Source organism: Homo sapiens, chromosome 4, assembly GCF_000001405.40.
Source record: "Homo sapiens chromosome 4, GRCh38.p14 Primary Assembly".
Lineage (NCBI taxonomy): Eukaryota > Metazoa > Chordata > Mammalia > Primates > Hominidae > Homo > Homo sapiens.
This window is the reverse complement of record NC_000004.12, coordinates 155,342,180-155,361,020: the sequence shown is the minus strand read 5'-3', so window position 1 is coordinate 155,361,020 and position 18,841 is coordinate 155,342,180. Positions and strand designations below refer to the sequence as shown.

The 18,841-nt window shown below is 32.5% G+C and overlaps 1 protein-coding gene and 1 long non-coding RNA gene across 7 annotated transcripts in view; one reads left to right on the top strand and one right to left on the bottom strand.

The window, feature by feature from the left end:
- MAP9 (microtubule associated protein 9) overlaps positions 1–18,363 on the top strand; it is a 34,308-nt gene extending 15,945 nt beyond the window's left edge. For all 6 annotated transcript variants that reach the window (XM_011532255.4, NM_001039580.2, XM_011532254.2 and 3 more), the window contains 8 exons: positions 606–853; positions 3,502–3,572; positions 5,137–5,305; positions 5,861–5,950; positions 7,681–7,842; positions 7,964–8,109; positions 8,293–8,425; positions 13,116–18,363. In XM_011532255.4, the coding sequence (XP_011530557.1) occupies positions 606–853; positions 3,502–3,572; positions 5,137–5,305; positions 5,861–5,950; positions 7,681–7,842; positions 7,964–8,109; positions 8,293–8,425; positions 13,116–13,238 (1,142 nt within the window). In that variant the 3' untranslated portion in view covers positions 13,239–18,363. The remainder of the gene's footprint in view (positions 1–605; positions 854–3,501; positions 3,573–5,136; positions 5,306–5,860; positions 5,951–7,680; positions 7,843–7,963; positions 8,110–8,292; positions 8,426–13,115) is intronic.
- Positions 560–6,805, bottom strand: MAP9-AS1 (MAP9 antisense RNA 1). The gene is made up of 3 exons (NR_125937.1): positions 6,648–6,805; positions 3,819–3,932; positions 560–736 (listed from the first exon to the last, which is right to left on the bottom strand). It is a non-coding gene; the product is annotated as an MAP9 antisense RNA 1 (long non-coding RNA).
- Positions 18,364–18,841: the final 478 nt, after the last annotated feature.

Genomic DNA, 18,841 nt, shown 5'->3' with positions numbered 1-18,841 from the left:
TCTTATGCCAGAGCTTGAGCCTGTTTCTTGGAGCACTGAGAGGATAAGCAATAGGCTTGTCTTTATTGCCCCTTATGGTATCAGAGGAAGTACTACATCTTGGTGAGATGAAACTCACTAGAGACTGTGTAAAATTGCATTAATTCTTGGTTCTTTCTGCAGCTATACAATTCAACAATTGTACTACTAGTAACTGTAGTAGCCTAGAGAGGTGTGACACCTTCTTATGCAGCGTGTTGTTCCAGCTAAGAAACTCAGGCTTTAGAGTTAAACAAATATTGTCATCTCACTTACTTGGTTTGTATATCAACAAGCTCTTTTGACATGTCGTTGTTTTAGGGTAGTTATTCCATTCTGTTTATTAATATGCTATTTTTCTAAGTACTAGATTTGTTAAGTGCTTCATTAGTTAAGCCTAGACTATTTTTTTTTGTAAATCACTTTCGAAAAGAGTTTATGCAAGTTTAATATGATAACTTTTCTTCATATTTTGCAAGAAAAAAGAGTTTATAGATAGTCCTCATTTAAAAGAAAGCAAATGAATCAAGTATTTACCTTATTAATTCAGAAGGGGGTTTTAATGCTATTACTCTGTCTCAAAATAGATCCAAATGAAGAAATCACTGAAAACCATAATTCCTTGAAATCAGATGAAAATAAAGAGAATTCATTTTCAGCAGACCATGTGACTACTGCAGTTGAGAAATCCAAGGAAAGTCAAGTGACTGCTGATGACCTTGAAGAAGAAAAGGCAAAAGCGGAACTGATTATGGATGATGACAGAACAGTTGATCCACTACTATCTAAATCTCAGAGTATCTTAATATCTACCAGTGCAACAGCATCTTCAAAGGTATTTGTAAAAATTCATACTTTTCATACTACAGCTTAAAACTTGAAATAGAACTTTAAGAAATTTTATCTTCTGTGTTATATACTTCTGAATTACCAGTGGAAAATTTATCTTTTGATAGTGATATTGTATTGTCACATGGTTCTTACTTAATCCAATAAAATTTAACTTTAAGGAAAGTTTGTAGTGAATATAATGAAACCCAGTGTTTAAAAATTATCAGAGGTGTGTGATCATAATATACTTTTAAATGTCTCAGAAATGCATACTCATAGTGTATATATTTCCATAGGTCTTCATATTTTAAAAATATAACTGTCTGGAATAATTTCTGAGATTTTAAATTAGAGTTATGTTTTTGGATATTGTTTTAAAACGTGTTAACAATTTTAACAAAAATCTTAAAGAAATGTTTATCAACAGTTTATCAACATCTGTGCTTCTTTAAAATAGATGGTTATCATCAGGAACATTAGTATTATTATTCGTATTTGATCCTTTGCCTTTATTTCCTAATTTTCAAAATAATGAACTGGTGCCCTGGCAACCTCCAGAGGTGATGAAGTTGCTTTGTTTTTTCTTTTTTCAATTCATGTAAATTTAATGGTTACAAGTGCTTTTTTGTTACATGGATATATTGTGTAGTGGTAAAGTCAGACTTTTAGTATAAACTAAAATGTACATTGTACCCATTAAGTAATTTCTCATCCCGCACCTCCCTCTCACCTTTCCTAGTCTCCATTATCTATTATTCCATACCCTATATACATGTGTACACATTATTTAGCTCTGACTTGTAAGTGAGAACATGTACCATTTGACTTTCTGTTTCTGATTTATTTCACTTAAGGTAATAGCCTCCAGTTCCATCCATGTTGTAAAAGATATTATTTCTTTTCTGTGTGGCTGAATAGTATTCCTGTGTGTGTGTGTGTGTGTGTGTGTGTGTGTGTGTGTATACACATTTTCTTTATACAATCATATGTTGATGTACACTTAGGTTGATTCCATATCTTTGCTATTGTGACTAGTGGTGTGATAAACATGAGTGCAGGTATCTTTTTTATATAATGATTTATTTTCCTTTTGGCAGATACTCACAGTGGGGTTGCTGGATTGAGTGGTAGTTCTATATTTAGTTCCTTAAGAAATCCCCAAACTATTTTCCATAAAGATTGTACTAATTTACATTCTTACCAAGAGTATACAAGCATTCCCTTTTCTCTGTGTTCTCACCAACATCTGTTACTTTTTTAACTTTTTAATAATAGCTAAATATTCTGACTAGTATAATATATCTCACTGTGGTTTTAATTTGTGTTTCTCTGATGATTAGTGATGGTGAACATTTTTTTTCATGTTTCTTGGCCACTTGTATGTCTTCTTTTCAAAAAGTCTATTCATGTTTTTTGCCCTCTTTTTAGTGGGGTTATTTGTTTTTTGTTGTTGTTGTTGAGGGGAACATTATTATTATAACCTTAAGAAACAGATATGTAATATGTAGGATTACTTGTCCCTACATTAAATTGTGCCTGAGTGCTATACTTTAAAAATTTATGGTGTAGCATTTTCAGTCTTTGTTTCTCCTGAATTTGTCATTATCTCTTGTAGCTGCAATTAGCTAGCAGCTCTGTGTGTTTATTATCAGCGGAAGAAAACAGGGCTAGCTGAAAATTTGTGTTTGAGCAATACTTTTATAACATAAAATACAAGCTTTTCTTAAAATTGATGAAGGAGGTTCATTAAGCCATGTTCCAGGTATATCATCCTTAGCTAATTTCTTTAGGAAAAAAACACTACTGCTAAGTTAGGGATGTGTTTATTATGTCTGTGCTCTCACTTTACCACTAGCACCCATCAGTCTGTGTAAAGTAGAAAAGTTGTTCCTTAAAAGAAGAAAGGATATTCCGGAGTTTATAGACAGGATTGTAGAATGTCTAATAGAGGCAATTCTAAATTAGAACAGGCATTTCATATGTAACAAGTAAGGTTGTAACTTGTTTCTTTTGACTGGACCCTTGGCCTCATTCTTACTCTCTACTGAATGACCTTTTCTAAACAGAAATATAATCATTCTCCATTAAAGTCTTTTTGTTGGTTTCTCATCACAAGAATTCCATCCAGACTCCTCATCGCTGCCTAGTGATCTCACCTGGTTCTTCCCTGACCACGTCTTCCTCCGCTTTCCCTGCCATTCACTATGCTTCAGCTCCATTCACCTCTTTCTGTTTTTCAGAGATAACAGGTTCCGTCCCTTCTCAGGCTTTTACCCACTTGCTGTTTCTTTCTTTCATAGACCTTTCGGTGGGCCCTTTGCACTCTTAGCTCTGATGTCAGCCCCTCAGGACAGCCTTCCCTGACCAACTTCTTTAAAGCAGCTCCTCAGCCCCACTCTAGTCATTCTCTGTCACTGCACACTATTTTATGTCCTTCATGAGCCATGTTTGCTTATATATTTATTTTTGGTCATCCGTCTCTAGAATTTAATATTCTTAAGGGCATTTTATTCACTGATTTGCTCCCAATTTCTACTGTGTTTGACACATAGTAGATGCTTAAAGAATAGTGATTTACTGGCAGTTTGGCTTCTAAGCCTAAAAAGGATAGTTGTCATGAATAAATCATCTTTGGCATTTTCTGTTTAATAGAAAACAATTGAAGATAGAAATATAAAGAATAAAAAGTCAACAAATAATAGAGCATCCAGTGCATCTGCCAGGTAATAAAGTTACCAATATTTGTCATTTATGGGCTTGCATTCTAGCAAAGCTAGTTTTAATTTAACTTTCATAAAGTAAATTTCATTTGGTGTTACTGTATTTTCTTTTTATTTCCATTTCATAAAATGAAAGTAGTTAACTTCATGATAAAACCCCTTGGTTGATGATATTATTTGAAATAAAGTAATTTATAAAAAGTAAGTCTATTACTGATTGTTTTAGTGCCTGGAATGTTTATGCAATACCTTTGCTCTCCAGGATCGTCCTAGGAATATTTTTCTTCTTTCTTAATGTCAGTGATTAGGGATTCTTTGTGCTCCAGACTGCTTCTGGAATAGAGCTTCTTTCTCCTACTTTTCCTGAGACAAGCAATATAAAATGGTAATAAAGCTGAAGTCTAGCAATGATACTTATTCATTATCAAGTATCATTGTCTAACATGAGAAATTGTACTGAAAGCCTTCAGAATCTATGAACTAAGTAGGTTTATTAAAATGATTATCTGTATAGCTTCATTCACACCAATGATAATGAATGCCTAACTCATAAGTGCTAATCAAAAACCTTCTGAATCTTTAAAATTATCGTTAGTCAAATTATCATTAATCAAATAAAACAGAGCTAGCAAGCTTTTTCTGTAAATGGCCAGTTAGTGCATATTTTAGGCTTTGTAGGCGATACAGTCTGTATTGGAACTACTCATTTCTGCTATTTTAACAGGAAAGCAGCCACAGGCAAAACTTAACATGAATGATTACAGCTATGGTGCAATAAACTTTGTATATCAAAACCAATGGCTGGCCAAATTTTCCCACCAATCCCTGATATAGATAGTACTATTCTTTCTAATTTTATATTTGGAATGCTTCATGTAACAAAATGATGAAAGAAAATATTAAAAGAGTGATTATAACCTACTGTATTGTTTTTTCCATGTAACTTGAGAAGTGGTCCATATTTCTTAAGTTTCTAATTACAAATATTTAAAAAGAGCAATCATTTTAAAGCTATATAACTTAAAGTTATAAAATTTAAATTATGTTGAAGGGGACATATTTAAGTTATGTCCCCTTCTACATAATTTAATATTCTTTGTATACTAAGACTGTACATTTTACCTACATCATTTTCAAAGTAATTATAATTTGTTAAATTATAATGTAGTTTCCAATTTTTTTTTTGAGATGGAGTCTCACTCTGTTGCTCAGGCTGGAGTTCAGTGGCATGATCTCTGCTCACTGCAACCTCTGCCTCCTGGGCTCAAGCTATCCTCCCACCTCAGCCTCCAGGGTAGCTATGACTACAGGCATGTGCCACCACGCCAGCTAATTTTTTGTATTTTTGGTAGAGACAGGGTTTCACCATGTTGCCCAGGCTGGTCAACAGCCCAACAGGATGAGCTCAAGTCATCCACCCACTTTGGCCTTCCAAAGTGCTGGGATTACAGGTGTGAGCCATCATGCCTGGCCAGTTTTCAAATATTATACGTGCATATTCTAACAGATCTCTCTTCTACCAAATGCAATTGTAATATTTTGTCTTGATTCATTTGGATCTTTTCAGATTAATGACCTCTGAGTTTTTGAAGAAATCTAGTTCTAAAAGGAGAACTCCATCGACAACTACCTCTTCTCACTATTTAGGGACTTTAAAAGTCTTGGACCAAAAACCTTCACAGAAACAGAGCATAGAACCTGATAGAGCAGATAACATAAGGGCAGCTGTTTATCAGGTAAAAAAGGAAAATATTTTTAAGAGAAGAAGAATGATCACTTTCATAAGCCTACACTGTTTATAAAGAATAAAGTAATCCTGATAGAAAATGATGGTTTAATACTTAAATTTATTGAGAAAGAGTTTCCTTTTAATACATGAGTAATCATATTTTACTAAATTATTTGCTTCCACACTTTGCATAACTGACCATAGTTGTTTTTAAAGAAAGAATATGCCATTGCAATTTATAGAAATACAGCACAAGCCAAAACATTGTAAAGTCTATATATGTTTTCATTTTTTTCTTCTTGAAGTTTATATGAACAAAAGGAGTTATTATGAACAAAAAGTTATTAAATTTTTTCTTTCCTGAGATGTTGTTAGGCGTACATAGGAAAAAGATTGTATTAATTTATTCACAATTCTAAAAGTCTTTTTTTGTCTTTTTTAGAGTAGAATAGTATACTTTAGAAAATTGTACATGTGAATTTCAGAGAAAATGTTAATATAAAGAATTCTAATTCACTTAAGAAATTTTAAATATTATATGACCTTTTTCTTGTTCTTATAGGAGTGGTTAGAAAAGAAAAATGTGTATTTACATGAAATGCACAGAATAAAAAGAATTGAAAGTGAAAACTTAAGGATCCAAAATGAACAGGTATTCTGACATATAGAAGTAAAAATGTTTTGGATTTTTATTTCAGTAAAATATCCCTGAATATATAACTTTTCTAAATCAGCTTTTTAAATGGCAAAATAACTTGTATATTAAAGAAATGATTTCCGGTTTTACTTCTGTTTTACTTTATACATTTTAGTTTGATATAACTGTTTTACATGAAAACAGATTTTAATTTTGTATATGTATAGGATAGCTTTGTTCCTGCTGATTATGAAGTTATTATTGTTTATGAGCACCTAATTCACTTTTAAAAGTTGATTTCATTTAGAACTTAACCAAGAAGGCCAGGTACTGTGGCTCATGCCTGTAATCCCAGCACTTTGGGAGGCCAAGGCAGATGGGATTCCTTGAGGTCTGGAGTTCGACACCAGCCTGGGCAATGTGGTGAAACCCCATCTCTACTAAAAATACAAAAATTAGCCAGGGATGGTGGTGGGCACCTGTAATCCCAGCTACTCAGGAGGCTGAGGTGGCAGGATCACTTGAACCCGGGAGGCGGAGGTTGCAGTTAGCTGAGATCGTGCCACTGTACTCCAGCCTAGGTGACAGAGACTCTGTCTCAAAAAAAAAAAAAAAGGCACGACAAGATAAAGGATCATTAGACACTAGTTAGCCTTCAATTTTCCTCTTTTCTCTCTTGAATTTTATAAGTATCTTCAAGTCCAACCCCTACCTGAACTCTTGATCTGTATCCTTTCCCATTGAATGGAGGTGAACTTTTGTTCCTGTCTCTTCTGTACTGAGTCTCTTCCTCTAACTCCTGCTTGTAATACGCTCAGTTATTTCTTATCTTCTAAAGTCAAACTTCTGGACAAAAACTCCAGTGTGCTGTTCAATACTAAAAATAGATTTAGAAGAAAAATATTTTCCAAGGTGAACTGCACGATAATGCGTCAGTAGTGAAGGGAGCAGCCCTCCAGGGGGCGTGCCTGTCTATCTGTTAACCACGTTCATAGCAGTATGCTGCTGTGGTCAGTGCCATACCCCTTCTCATTTGATTTTCGTAGCTCTGTGAGGTAGATAGTACTTTGACCTCTAAATTATGTTACCCCAATATTAAGGTTTTATGTCATTTAATATTGAACAATAAAGCAAACATAGAATATTATGGGATTAGATTGAAGGAAGTAAAATAATAACATAACTTGCTATACAGTCTCCAACCTATTTTTCAGTCGAGCACATACTTTCAACATTTGGAATACATTTGTGCAGTAAGAACTTTATGTTTTGATACTATTCAAAATTAAGATTTAAACCAAAAATCTGCATCTTACTGCATGGCTTGGCCAATTTGCCTTACTCTAACTTACTTTATAAGCCCATAACTTTACTGATTTTTTTTTCAAATATTTTATTATGAAAATTTTACTATACCACTTAGCCTATTACAGTTTATTTTGATATAATTTGTTTAGTACACTTTCAAAAATAATAGTTGACATCTTTCTCATTAATAGGTCAATATGTGATAAATGTTTTTAGAAAAGGACGTTTTAAAACCAATGAATAATTCAGATAACATTCTTTGTAAATTATCTAAGCCATTCTAAATAAATTACCTACTTTGAAAGTTAATTTCTAAGTATAATGAATATCAGAGGACTAAAGATAAATGTATATGTGTATATTTATATCTAGCCATATTTGTGTCTATGTATATATACATATATATGTATATCACTCTATTATTTTTTCCACTGTAGAAAAAAGCTGCTAAAAGAGAAGAAGCATTAGCATCATTTGAGGCCTGGAAGGCTATGAAAGAAAAGGAAGCAAAGAAAATAGCTGCCAAAAAGAGGCTTGAAGAAAAAAACAAGAAGAAAACTGAAGAAGAAAATGCTGCAAGAAAAGGAGAAGCACTACAAGTATTCAGAACTTTGCACATCTTAATTATTTTAAAACATTTGAAATCCAAATTAATGATTAACCATATTTTTATTTATTTTCAAATATTCACAGTAAGAAAATTATTCTGAACTTTTTCAGGCTTTTGAAAAATGGAAAGAGAAAAAGATGGAATATCTTAAAGAGAAAAATAGAAAGGAGAGAGAATATGAAAGAGCAAAGAAACAGAAAGAGGAGGAAACTGTTGCCGAGAAAAAGAAAGATAATTTAACTGCTGTTGAGAAATGGTAATCCAAAATCATAAATATTTTGATATATTTTAAATTATAGTAACACTTCAGGATTTTATAAAATTTATTTACTTGAAATTTAGTAATGCATTTCAATTTCATTACTGTCAAAGATGTACTAGGGAATCTTTATTATGTATTTTCCTTTAACTCTCCAGTGTTTTATACTATGCTCTATAGGAATGAAAAAAAGGAAGCTTTTTTCAAGCAAAAGGAAAAAGAAAAAATAAATGAGAAAAGAAAGGAAGAACTGAAAAGAGCTGAGAAAAAAGATAAAGATAAACAAGCTATTAATGAATATGAAAAATGGCTGGTAGGTATTATTTGTCAATGCACTTTCGTCTTTTTCATGTACCTTTTGTGTCTTTTCTGTCCCTAATTCTAATTCTATTTGCTCCAGACCTACTGATCATTTCTACCTGGAATCTGCTTTGTTGAATTCAAGCTCTCCTCCTGCATATAGCATATTTTCTTTGACTTAGTCATTTCTATTAATGTTTCTACTATTCCCTCAAACACCCAGGCTGAAAACTTGTTATAATCTTCTTCCTTACCTGCATCCCCACATTTACCATTTACTATTCATGCCCATTCTTCCTTTGCTGTGATTCTCACATCTAACATAGAAAGAAGACAAGTTTACTATTGAGGGTACTACGTGGTGGAACTTGGTCATGACAAAAAGTAACACTGAACTTAATAGTGAGAAAATTATTCCATCTTTTATTCTCTTTTGATGTTTCTGATGACCTCAAGGAGAATCTCTTATTTAGGAATTTTTAATGAAAGAGAGCAGGTTTGAGGTTTAGGAGGAGCAATAGCTAGCTGAACCAGATATGTGTATATATTTGATTTCACTTTACTTATCTTTATAAAAGTTACTTTTTGTTGATGTCAAGCAAAATATTATTTTCCATTTTAGAATATCAATATAAATATGCATTTTGTCCATGTTTATATAAGTAATACATTACTATGAATAAATACTTTACATAAGTAGGTAACACATTCATATGAATAGTTAACATATTCATATGATTCAGCAACCAAAATTATAGTATTTTTGCACTAGAAGTCTATCCAGTCAGGTTTCCTATCAAACTTTAAAACAACTCATACCAATCAACTAAATCATCCAGGTTGTTTTTGATTTGCATTTCTCTGGTTAGAATTGAGCTTGAATATCTTTTCATTTGTATACAGGCCATTTATCTATTATTTTCTCTGTAAATTGTCATTTCATAGACTTTGCACACTTTTCTATTAGATTGTTGGTTTTTTTTCCTTACTGGTTTCTAGAATCTTTTGTTTTGTACTGGGGAAATTAGCCTATCATTTTTTATATGGGTTGCAAATATTTACCCCCACTATATTGTTGGTTTCCCGGCTTTCCTTATAGTATCTCATGCCATGAAGAATTTAAATTTTAGGTGTCAGATTTCTGTTTTTTTTTTTTGGCTTTTGATTTTCAAGCATAGTTGAAAAGACCTACACAATTTGAGATTAAACAGAATTATCTTATTTTTCTTCTAACAACTTTGTGACTTTAATATCTTAATGTTTTAACATTTGTTCTGCTTGGAATTTGCCCTGATACATGGTGGGAAATATGATTTCAACTTTAGTTTTTCCAAATGTATCCTTTATAAAGTAGCCCATTTTTACCCATTGATTTGAGGTGCTACTTCTGTTATATGATACCTTCTCATGTTTTCGGGTCTGTTTCTTAACTTTCTGTTCCATTGGTCAGTCTCGTGATTCCAGTGCCACACTTCCATTATTAGGCTTGATATGTCTAAATATCTGCTTGGATTCATCTCCCTTTATAGTTCTTCTTTCACAGTCTTTCTGACCAGTCTTGTTTATTTATTTTTTCCATAAACTTAAGAATCAGCAGTAGTTAGAAAGGTACATGGGACCAAAATGAGCGATTTAAAGATAGGATAAAAAGATAAAACAATAATAAACTTAAGAAACATGCCAGACCAACATAAAGAAAATTGTAGAACTCTCCTGAACAACACAAATGAAGACTTGAGAAAATGGATCAGAATTGCCCATGCACAGAAACACACTTAACCTTATAATGATGTTATAAGGATGTCAGCTCTCCCTGAAGTCATTTAATGCAATCTTAACAAAAGCCAACAGGATTTACTCTGTGTGTTGAGTTTAGTACTGCTATATGCTAATTCGATGCAGAGAAATAGTAATAAAATAAGGTAATCAAAATTGGTTCAATTTTGAATGAAAAAGGTAGTGTTTCATGATGATTTCCTTAAGTTAATCTGTTAAATAATGCTATGTTCTAAAAAAAAATTTAAAGTCCACTTATATTAAGAAGATGTACACTGACTGCTAGTATCAATTAGGGAAATTAAATGTAAACATTTGAGTTTTCCATTTTAATTCCATATCTTCATGAAAATGGAATAGAATTTCTTTAATAAGTCACATTTAGGTATACTGTTTTTAATTATAGCACTTAATTACATTGTCATTCTTATCAGTCCTCTGAAGAACAAGAATTCCTCAAAGACCAAAGACAAAATAACATGTTTGATATCTAGTAAAATGTCTGCAAATATAGTACACCTATAAACACATAAACATACATGTTACAGATCGGTTCTCCTTCTTACCAAATTCTTATTGAAATTTGTTTGCAGATAGAATAGAAAAATTGCCCCTGTATAGGAGTCTAATGACTTCAGTTTTCATGGAAAACAACATCTCAAGCTTTTTATATACAAACTAGTTTGAACAGTAAGCATTTGGTGGGTAATTGCTTTAGGGGAAAGTTAATAGCCAAAGATCAGGTAAGACTAAAATATTTTTCTTGCCAATTACCAGATTAATTCATCATTACCTTTAGTAAGAAAATAAGCAAAAAGCTCAGTTTTCCACAAATAAATGTCTGAAGGACTTTTTAACAAGGTTCTTTTAATTACTATCAAGGTGACTATTGATTCTTTTGAACTGATATTACAGTTAATATAATTGTCTATTTGCTACCCTGGCTTTACAGCTCCCTGCTAGTAAGATGAAGCATATTTCAAGTTACTGCCCCCTCATGTTAAGTGAAATTACAAAAAGAGATTTATTCAGTCAATTTCTGTGGACACAGTCTGGTCACTGCTTTTCTTCCGCCTAGCTAGATGGTCTGTCTCTAAAATATTAAAATGATTGAAGATGATCTAATTACAGCTTTGCTTTTCTCAATTAAAATTCTGAAAGGAAGTTTCCTCTTTGCCTTATTAGAAATAGCAAGCAAACAAACATGCAAGCATTCTTATGACATGGAATGAGGATATGGGTGTTAACATTGACAAAAAACAAACAAACCTCCCACTTCACTTTGTTTGTTACATGTGAATGGAAAGCTTGTCCTGTATTGCCATATTATTCTTGTGGCATTTATATATATACTGATGAAAAGATGCATACATACCTAATCATTTTCCATAATGCCTTTCCTCCCAAGCCATCAACCTGCAGAGGCAGGTTTCACTAAGGGTTTTCCTGCTCCTTGAGGAATATGAGAAAAATACCAAGATGAAGAAACCACCAAACCTTATAGTGTTAGCAGAGACATAAAGGGACACCTGGTGCCCCTCTTCCATTTCTTGTCTCCTGCCTTCTGCCAAGCCTTAGTCACAATGGATATTTTTGTTTCCTCCCACAGCACACATTTTTTTTCCCACTCTCAGAGCCCTCACCACTACTGTTTGCAAGCAAAGCTCTTCCCCGATATTTATCACGAGTGGCTTCTCTTATCCATCATGTCACACTTCAAAGGGACTTTCCCTGAGTCCATTTTTTGTTGAAAGTAAATACTCTTTTTTATTCCTTCTCATAGTTTTAAAACATGTTTCAGAGAAATTCACACAATTTGGAATTATCTGTTGTTTATTTTCTTTGTTTCTGTCCATTTTGAAAGTTCCCTGGGGGACAGGGACCATATCTGTGTGTTGGGATTTTAAAAAATTATTTTTATTTGCAAATGACACATAAAAAGTGCACATATTTATGGAATACAGTGTGATGTTTCCATCTACATTGTATACATTGTGTAACAATCAGAAATGACTCACAAAGGTAGGCAAAATGTTTGATGCAAAGATATCATTAATATTTATTATAGGAAAGTACACAAATTACTAAAAATTAAAGGCAAATACCATACATTTAAATGGGCCAAATAATTGAGCAGAAAATTTACAAAAGGCTAAAGAAATGTTTGAAAATGTGCTCAAGTTCAATAATAAAGAAACATGAGGCAGAATTTTTAACTATTTGTAAAAAATTTGAAGTATCTCATACTGTCATGACATATTGAAACTTTGCACCCAGTAAACTTACTTCTGAGAATTTGTTCTCACGAAGTCACCACCAACTTATAACAGTTACTATATTTGAGTTATAATTATAGGTCTTTTTTTCTATTTTATACAATTCTTTTTTAATGTTTTCACTTTTAAAGTTTAAAAAATTAAGTGATATTAGTACTTGCAAATTGACAATGTTTACTAATTTTTTTCTTGTTTCCATTTTTTGTTTGTTTGTTTTTTTGAGACAGGGTCTCACTCTGTTGCCCAGGCTGGAGTGCAGTGGTGCAATCTCGGCTCACTGCAACCTCCACCTCCCAGGCTCAAGCAATCCTCCCATCTCAGCCTCCTAAGTAGGTGGGACTATAGGCATGCACCGCCACACCTGGCTAATTTTTGTGTTGTTTTGTAGAGATGATGTTTCACCATGTTTCCCAGGCTGGTCTCGAACTCCCAGGCTCAAACAATCCACCCACCTTAGTCTCCTAAAGTTCTGGGATTACTGGCATGAGCCACCATGCCTGGCCCTACCTGTTATTTCTTTATGATCTGTTAAACTAGGAAGTGATATATAAATATCCTATAATGGATTATTTTGTTCTTCAGCAAGCAACCTGATTTGAAAATAATAATCATATATGTACATAAATTTATAGTGTTCTATTTTCTCTTTAGGAAAATAAGGAAAAACAAGAAAGAATTGAACGAAAACAGAAGAAACGTCATTCCTTTCTTGAAAGTGAGGCACTTCCTCCGTGGAGCCCTCCAAGCAGAACTGTGTTCGCAAAAGTGTTTTGATAATTCTAGTTCTTACATTATTTGGTTATTTATCGGTTTGCCAATATTAGCCATAGATTTAAAACCATTCAATTATTTATAGTTAGAGGAATATATTTTAATTAAATGCCAGACACTCCTGCTGACAATGAAAGAAATACTTTGGAATGTAATCAGTGAAAGCATTTTTTTGAACTGTAGATAAACTGCCTCAAACAAAGACCTAATAATCAGATTGTTTTTACCATTAAGATACATAAGATTTTATCATGTCCTGATAATTCTTATGGTGGAGTGATTCATGATCTTTTTCATTAAGCTCTGTATGTTATTTAAGTATATTTAATTCCAGTAATAAAAAGGAAATCATCTAGGTACCATAATGATAGAAATTATTCCTTTTGTGGATGATTGTGAATCTAGATTCAGGTTTTTAAATGAAGGGTCGCTGGGAAGTGCGCATATATTATTCCTTCTGAAACTGATGTTTAGCTCAAAGCAGTTGCATTTGTACTGTGCTAGTTAGAATTTTCATCAGTTGAGGCAGTAGCTCAGTAGAACTCTAATCATCAAGGCTTTTTATTTAAGAATTTTGCCTTATGTTTTAATATGAGTGTACTTTATCTGTTCCAGGCTTATGTGATAATCATAGGTACTTTATAATGAGTCCACCTCTGAAATTTTTCTTTCTGAATTCTATCTCACTTTATTATTTCAGTGATACCAAAAGACATCAATGTCACAGTAGTGATATACTTATGTATTAGTTATGGAAATTCCACAGGAGTTCAAGGTCATTATCACTATAATTATTTTCCTGACTAAAGCCATAAAGGTGATTTAGGCAATTATTGTCATCTTAGCTAGTCCTGTTTTATAGCTTATATTCAGCAGACAGCTGTATGGGAAGGTAAATATGTTGACAATGTCCACAAAGCCTTTATTTATTTATTTATTTGATCTCTGCATGTCCTCGTAGTAACTGGTCTCATACTTGACCTGGTCATCTGGTTTAAGACAGACCAAGTGTATGCTCACGGAGCTGAAATGCATTAGTCAGTTGTGCAATGAGGAGATGATGGATGAGAATATATAGTTCCTATTTATTGAGCATCTAATATATAATCTCTACTGGACCTTTACAAATGTATTTAACATCTTTACAACAACTTTTCAGGGTAGGTGTTACCGGCTTCATCTTACATATAAAAATACTGGCGCTCAGATAAACCAAGTAACTTACCGTCCATCTGGAGTGTGCCTGAGTTGAGATCAAACGGGATTCAGTACGTCTGACTGAATCTGCCTCCTTCTGAAATCTCTATGCTCTTTTTCACACTTCTCTGTAGCCTCAGAGACTGCCAAGTTCTGTCAAGACCTCTGCATAATATCAACGTTACAAACACGTTTTAACTTTTAGAGCCTAAAATCATGTATTGTTATCCAAAGATGATCTTTCTCTACAGAAATAGCTGCTTGTTCTTAGAGATGGTGGAGGTCATTAAATCTATAAAGTGAGATAAAAATCCATAAGATTTCATGAGTTACTCAGGCATCTTATAACTACTATCAGAATATCAGAAAACTCAGCAAGTTATGTGACAAAGGCTTTGAGATGATCACTCCAGACGTTCCACATACTGAGCATCAGCCTTCTTGCTGCAGTGCATGTGCAAGATAAGATGTCATAGGCAGCTTTGTAAGATTGTATCAGTGCTATAGACAATTAAGAGAAATTTCATAGATAAAACTAGAACCCTTTCTATATGGCCAGAACTGTAATACTTTATGAAATTGATCTGATTATCAGCAATATGTAGTATCAGCATGGAATTTAGGACCTCTCTTACTCATTCCTGTGTCCCCCATAGTACCAAAAACAGTGCCTGCCAAAATAGATTAAAAGTGTTTATTGTATTAGCTGTTTAGAGCTGAAAAGATATTTACAAATTCCAGGGAAGTAAAAGGAAAAAAACTGAAAAAGGTACAGCTACTTTTGGGGATGTGAGATCATGGATGTGTATCTTATAGATTTCACATTATTTATTTACTTTCCATTATTTTCTTCTACATTATCATATTTAGTGGCTAACCATTATTACTTCTTAGGTTGTTGTGAGAACCGAGTTAATTAATGTAAACTATTTGACACATAATAAGGACTTAAATGTTCATTGTTGTCATTATTGATTTATTACCATGAGCCCTACATTTCCCCATTCATGAGTGTGCGAACATTAACATAGATAGGGTTGATAATGGTTATTTGACATTACACATTTTTAGGAAGAAGAAATTTCTGTCTTGCTGGCCAGTCCAGGCTGTAACACTCAAAAAAACAAAACAAAACAAAACAAAACAAAAAAACAGAAAGATGCCTTGTATTAGGGCCTTCCTAAAAAGAAAGCTAAGTAAGTATTAATTTCTTAGGATTGCTTCTGAGGTAGGATGAGGTGTTTGCATAGACCCAACAAGTCATTCACTTCAAATTTTTTTTGTCTTACTATGATAAATAACATATTATTTCCTGTTTACAGCAACCTGCACTGAAATTAACTAGTTGAATAAAATCACCTCTTCTAGCACAAATAAAGCTGAGTTCGGGGAGGTGGGTGAAAATACAGTACTGTTGTTTACTTCCTAAGATCCAAGGGAGAGAATCAAGCTTGGTAATATTCTCTTGAATATACATTTACCTATTTAAAAGGTATGATTTTCCCATATTTCCTTAGGAAGTATGTCATGTCAATATAGATATTTACTCATTAGGTTTACATTAATTTGTATTATAAGGGAATGTTTAATTCAAATTAAGGACATTAAAAGTATATAGACTTTCATATAAAAGTTCCGGTTTTATAAATTGCGTTGATCACTTAAAGAATGCAGAGATCTCAAAGTAAAGAAAACAAATTTTATGAATATTTTAAAACATTACTTAAAACAAGTTTCCTTAGAAAGCACATTTGTGGATAAATTTAAATATTAATACTAAATAATAAAGTAGTATACAGAATTTAAATTTCATAATAATGAAGAAAGTGGTAATGCTATTTAACTTAAAAGATGCAATATGGCATTTTAGATCAAGAGGTTAAAGTTTTCTTAATGAAAGAAAGTAACGATTTATGGGATAAAAATATTCCAGTGGTTTGTATTTGCTTCATACTTCAAAAGTGTTAGTCCATTTATTGTTTAAAGTTATATTGAAACTGATATTTTCACTGCTGCCAAAGCAGTACCTGACAGTAGATAGGTATCCACAGTCTTATGTTCCTTAGAGTTATAGAACTATGCCTCTGAAAGGGGTTTTAATACTTTAATAAACCTGGCCTAAACTGTTTTATTTCTAAGTTGAAGAAACTGATTGTCAAGTACTTTGACTTGTCCAATCTCATACAACTAACTATGGTACATCTAGAGTTAGATCTCAGTATCAGGGGTCCCAGTTGTATTCTGCTCACCATTCCACAATTTCGATATTGATAAAACTTTCACACTAACTTTTGAACTGTGGTTATTATTAATTTAGTTGATTCATGTCCTCTTATTTATCTCCTTACTCCTCCACTGCTGCCTTCATAACTGTCCACCAGATCAAAGCTATTTGGGTACCTACACTTTAAAGTGAGGGGAAATAATGAAGTTTCTTAAATCCTGTGTCATGGACTAAGATACAATAAAGAAAAGGAATTTCACAAAGTAGGGGAAATTACGTGTTAGTTATAATCATTCCCAAGAATAAACTAGTAAAAGAAACTTAGATTTCCCTAATTTAATCTTGACTCCGATTTTGATAGTGCTATATAAAAAGGTATTTAAACCCATATGCTTCCTTTTACATAAAAGAAAGATATCAACTTTCCTAGTTTGCATTTACACTGGCTAATAGGATAATAAAATGCTGTGTAAATGTTAAACTGGAAGTTTCTCTGAGTTATTTTTACTTTAAAATTTCATGTGATTATGCCATTTTGAATATGTATATTACATGTAATTGTATAATGTTAACTCGGGTAGGCAAAATTCTTGGTATTAAATTTAGGATGTTTTAAAAATTATTAAGAAGATATTAATGTCTGCTTTTTGATAGCATATATTTTCATGTAATGTTTAGTGTATTAAAATCAACCATTCAAGATTTATTTTATTGGGTGACACTATTGACTGTGTTCCAAAATGCCCATAGTGTTAGGAAATGTGGTGTGAGTTTTATTTGTGGGCTAAGGATAAAATAATCATATGCTAATATACCTTTTATTATAAATGACTAAAAATTTGGATATAAAACTGATGTTTTACTACACAAATTACAGAGAGAGATAATATAATTATATAATTATTAAATAATTAGAAAATGCAAATAAGCAAAAGTCACCCATGTTCCCAGTTCTCATCTCCTGAAGATAGTTATAACTAACATATTATTTTGTACTCTTCCTGTTAATTAGTTTCTAGTGTACTTTCTCCTGTAGCTGAAATTAAGCTGAGAAAAAAGGAAGAGATAGTTCCTCCCTCCTCTTTCTCTCTCCCACTCTGTCTCTCTCCTGTGCTATCTGTGTGTATATACAAATATGTATGCATATATATATAATGATGTACATAATATATATAAAATACAAATACTAATGTGCATATTTTCAAACATACACATATTTTTTATTATTTGAAATAAGAATGAGTCAGACTACATATTTGGTAGCCAGATTTTTTTCACTCAGTGATATATCATGAACATATTTCCATGCTAATATAATTTTCTAATAATTTTAGATGCTGTAACTACAATTTCATTGTTAATGGGCAATTTGTTGCTTTACAAATGGTAAATTATATGATAAATAATATGATCATTATTCTTGTAGCCAATATCATTATTAGAAATGATGGACCGCATTAAAGCTATAAAATTAAATAAGAATTTATAAATGTAAGGAGTTATTCAGACATCTTGTATCTAGTATTACAATATCAGAAAACTCAGCAGGTTATATGACATATACACTTTGAGATAGTCACTCAGAGGTTTTCACATACAGGATTAACCTTGCTGCAGTGCGTGTGCAAGATTAAAAAAGATGTCACGGGTCACTTTGTAATGTCATATCGTTGCTGTTGATAAATAAAGGAAATGTTATAAATAAAACTAGATGCCTTTTTATGTTTCCAGAACTATAAGACATAGAAGGTGAGTTGTTTAATGGGTATAGAATTTCAGTTTTTGCAGGATGAAGAGAGTTCTGGAGAGCACTTGCACGTCAGTGAGAATGTATGTAACACTACTGAACCCTACACTTAAAAATGGTTAAGATGGTAAATTTTACATATATTTGCCCACAGTTTCGAAACCACAAAGCAATAATAATAATGCTTACTTACTTGCTCATATAAGAGAGATATAGAGAAGACTTCTCCCCTGATTATAGAATGTCTTTTGTTTGGTCTGACTGGACCAACTTGCTCATCTCAGATGAGTCATCATTGATTCAATTACAGTTGCCAGGAGAATGTCAGATGCTGAAGGACTTAAACCTGGACTGAATACTGAGTAAGAAAGTAACAGTTCAAGTAAATCTCCTAGTAACTCTTCATTTCAGATTTTGTTCTTGAACCCACTTTATTTT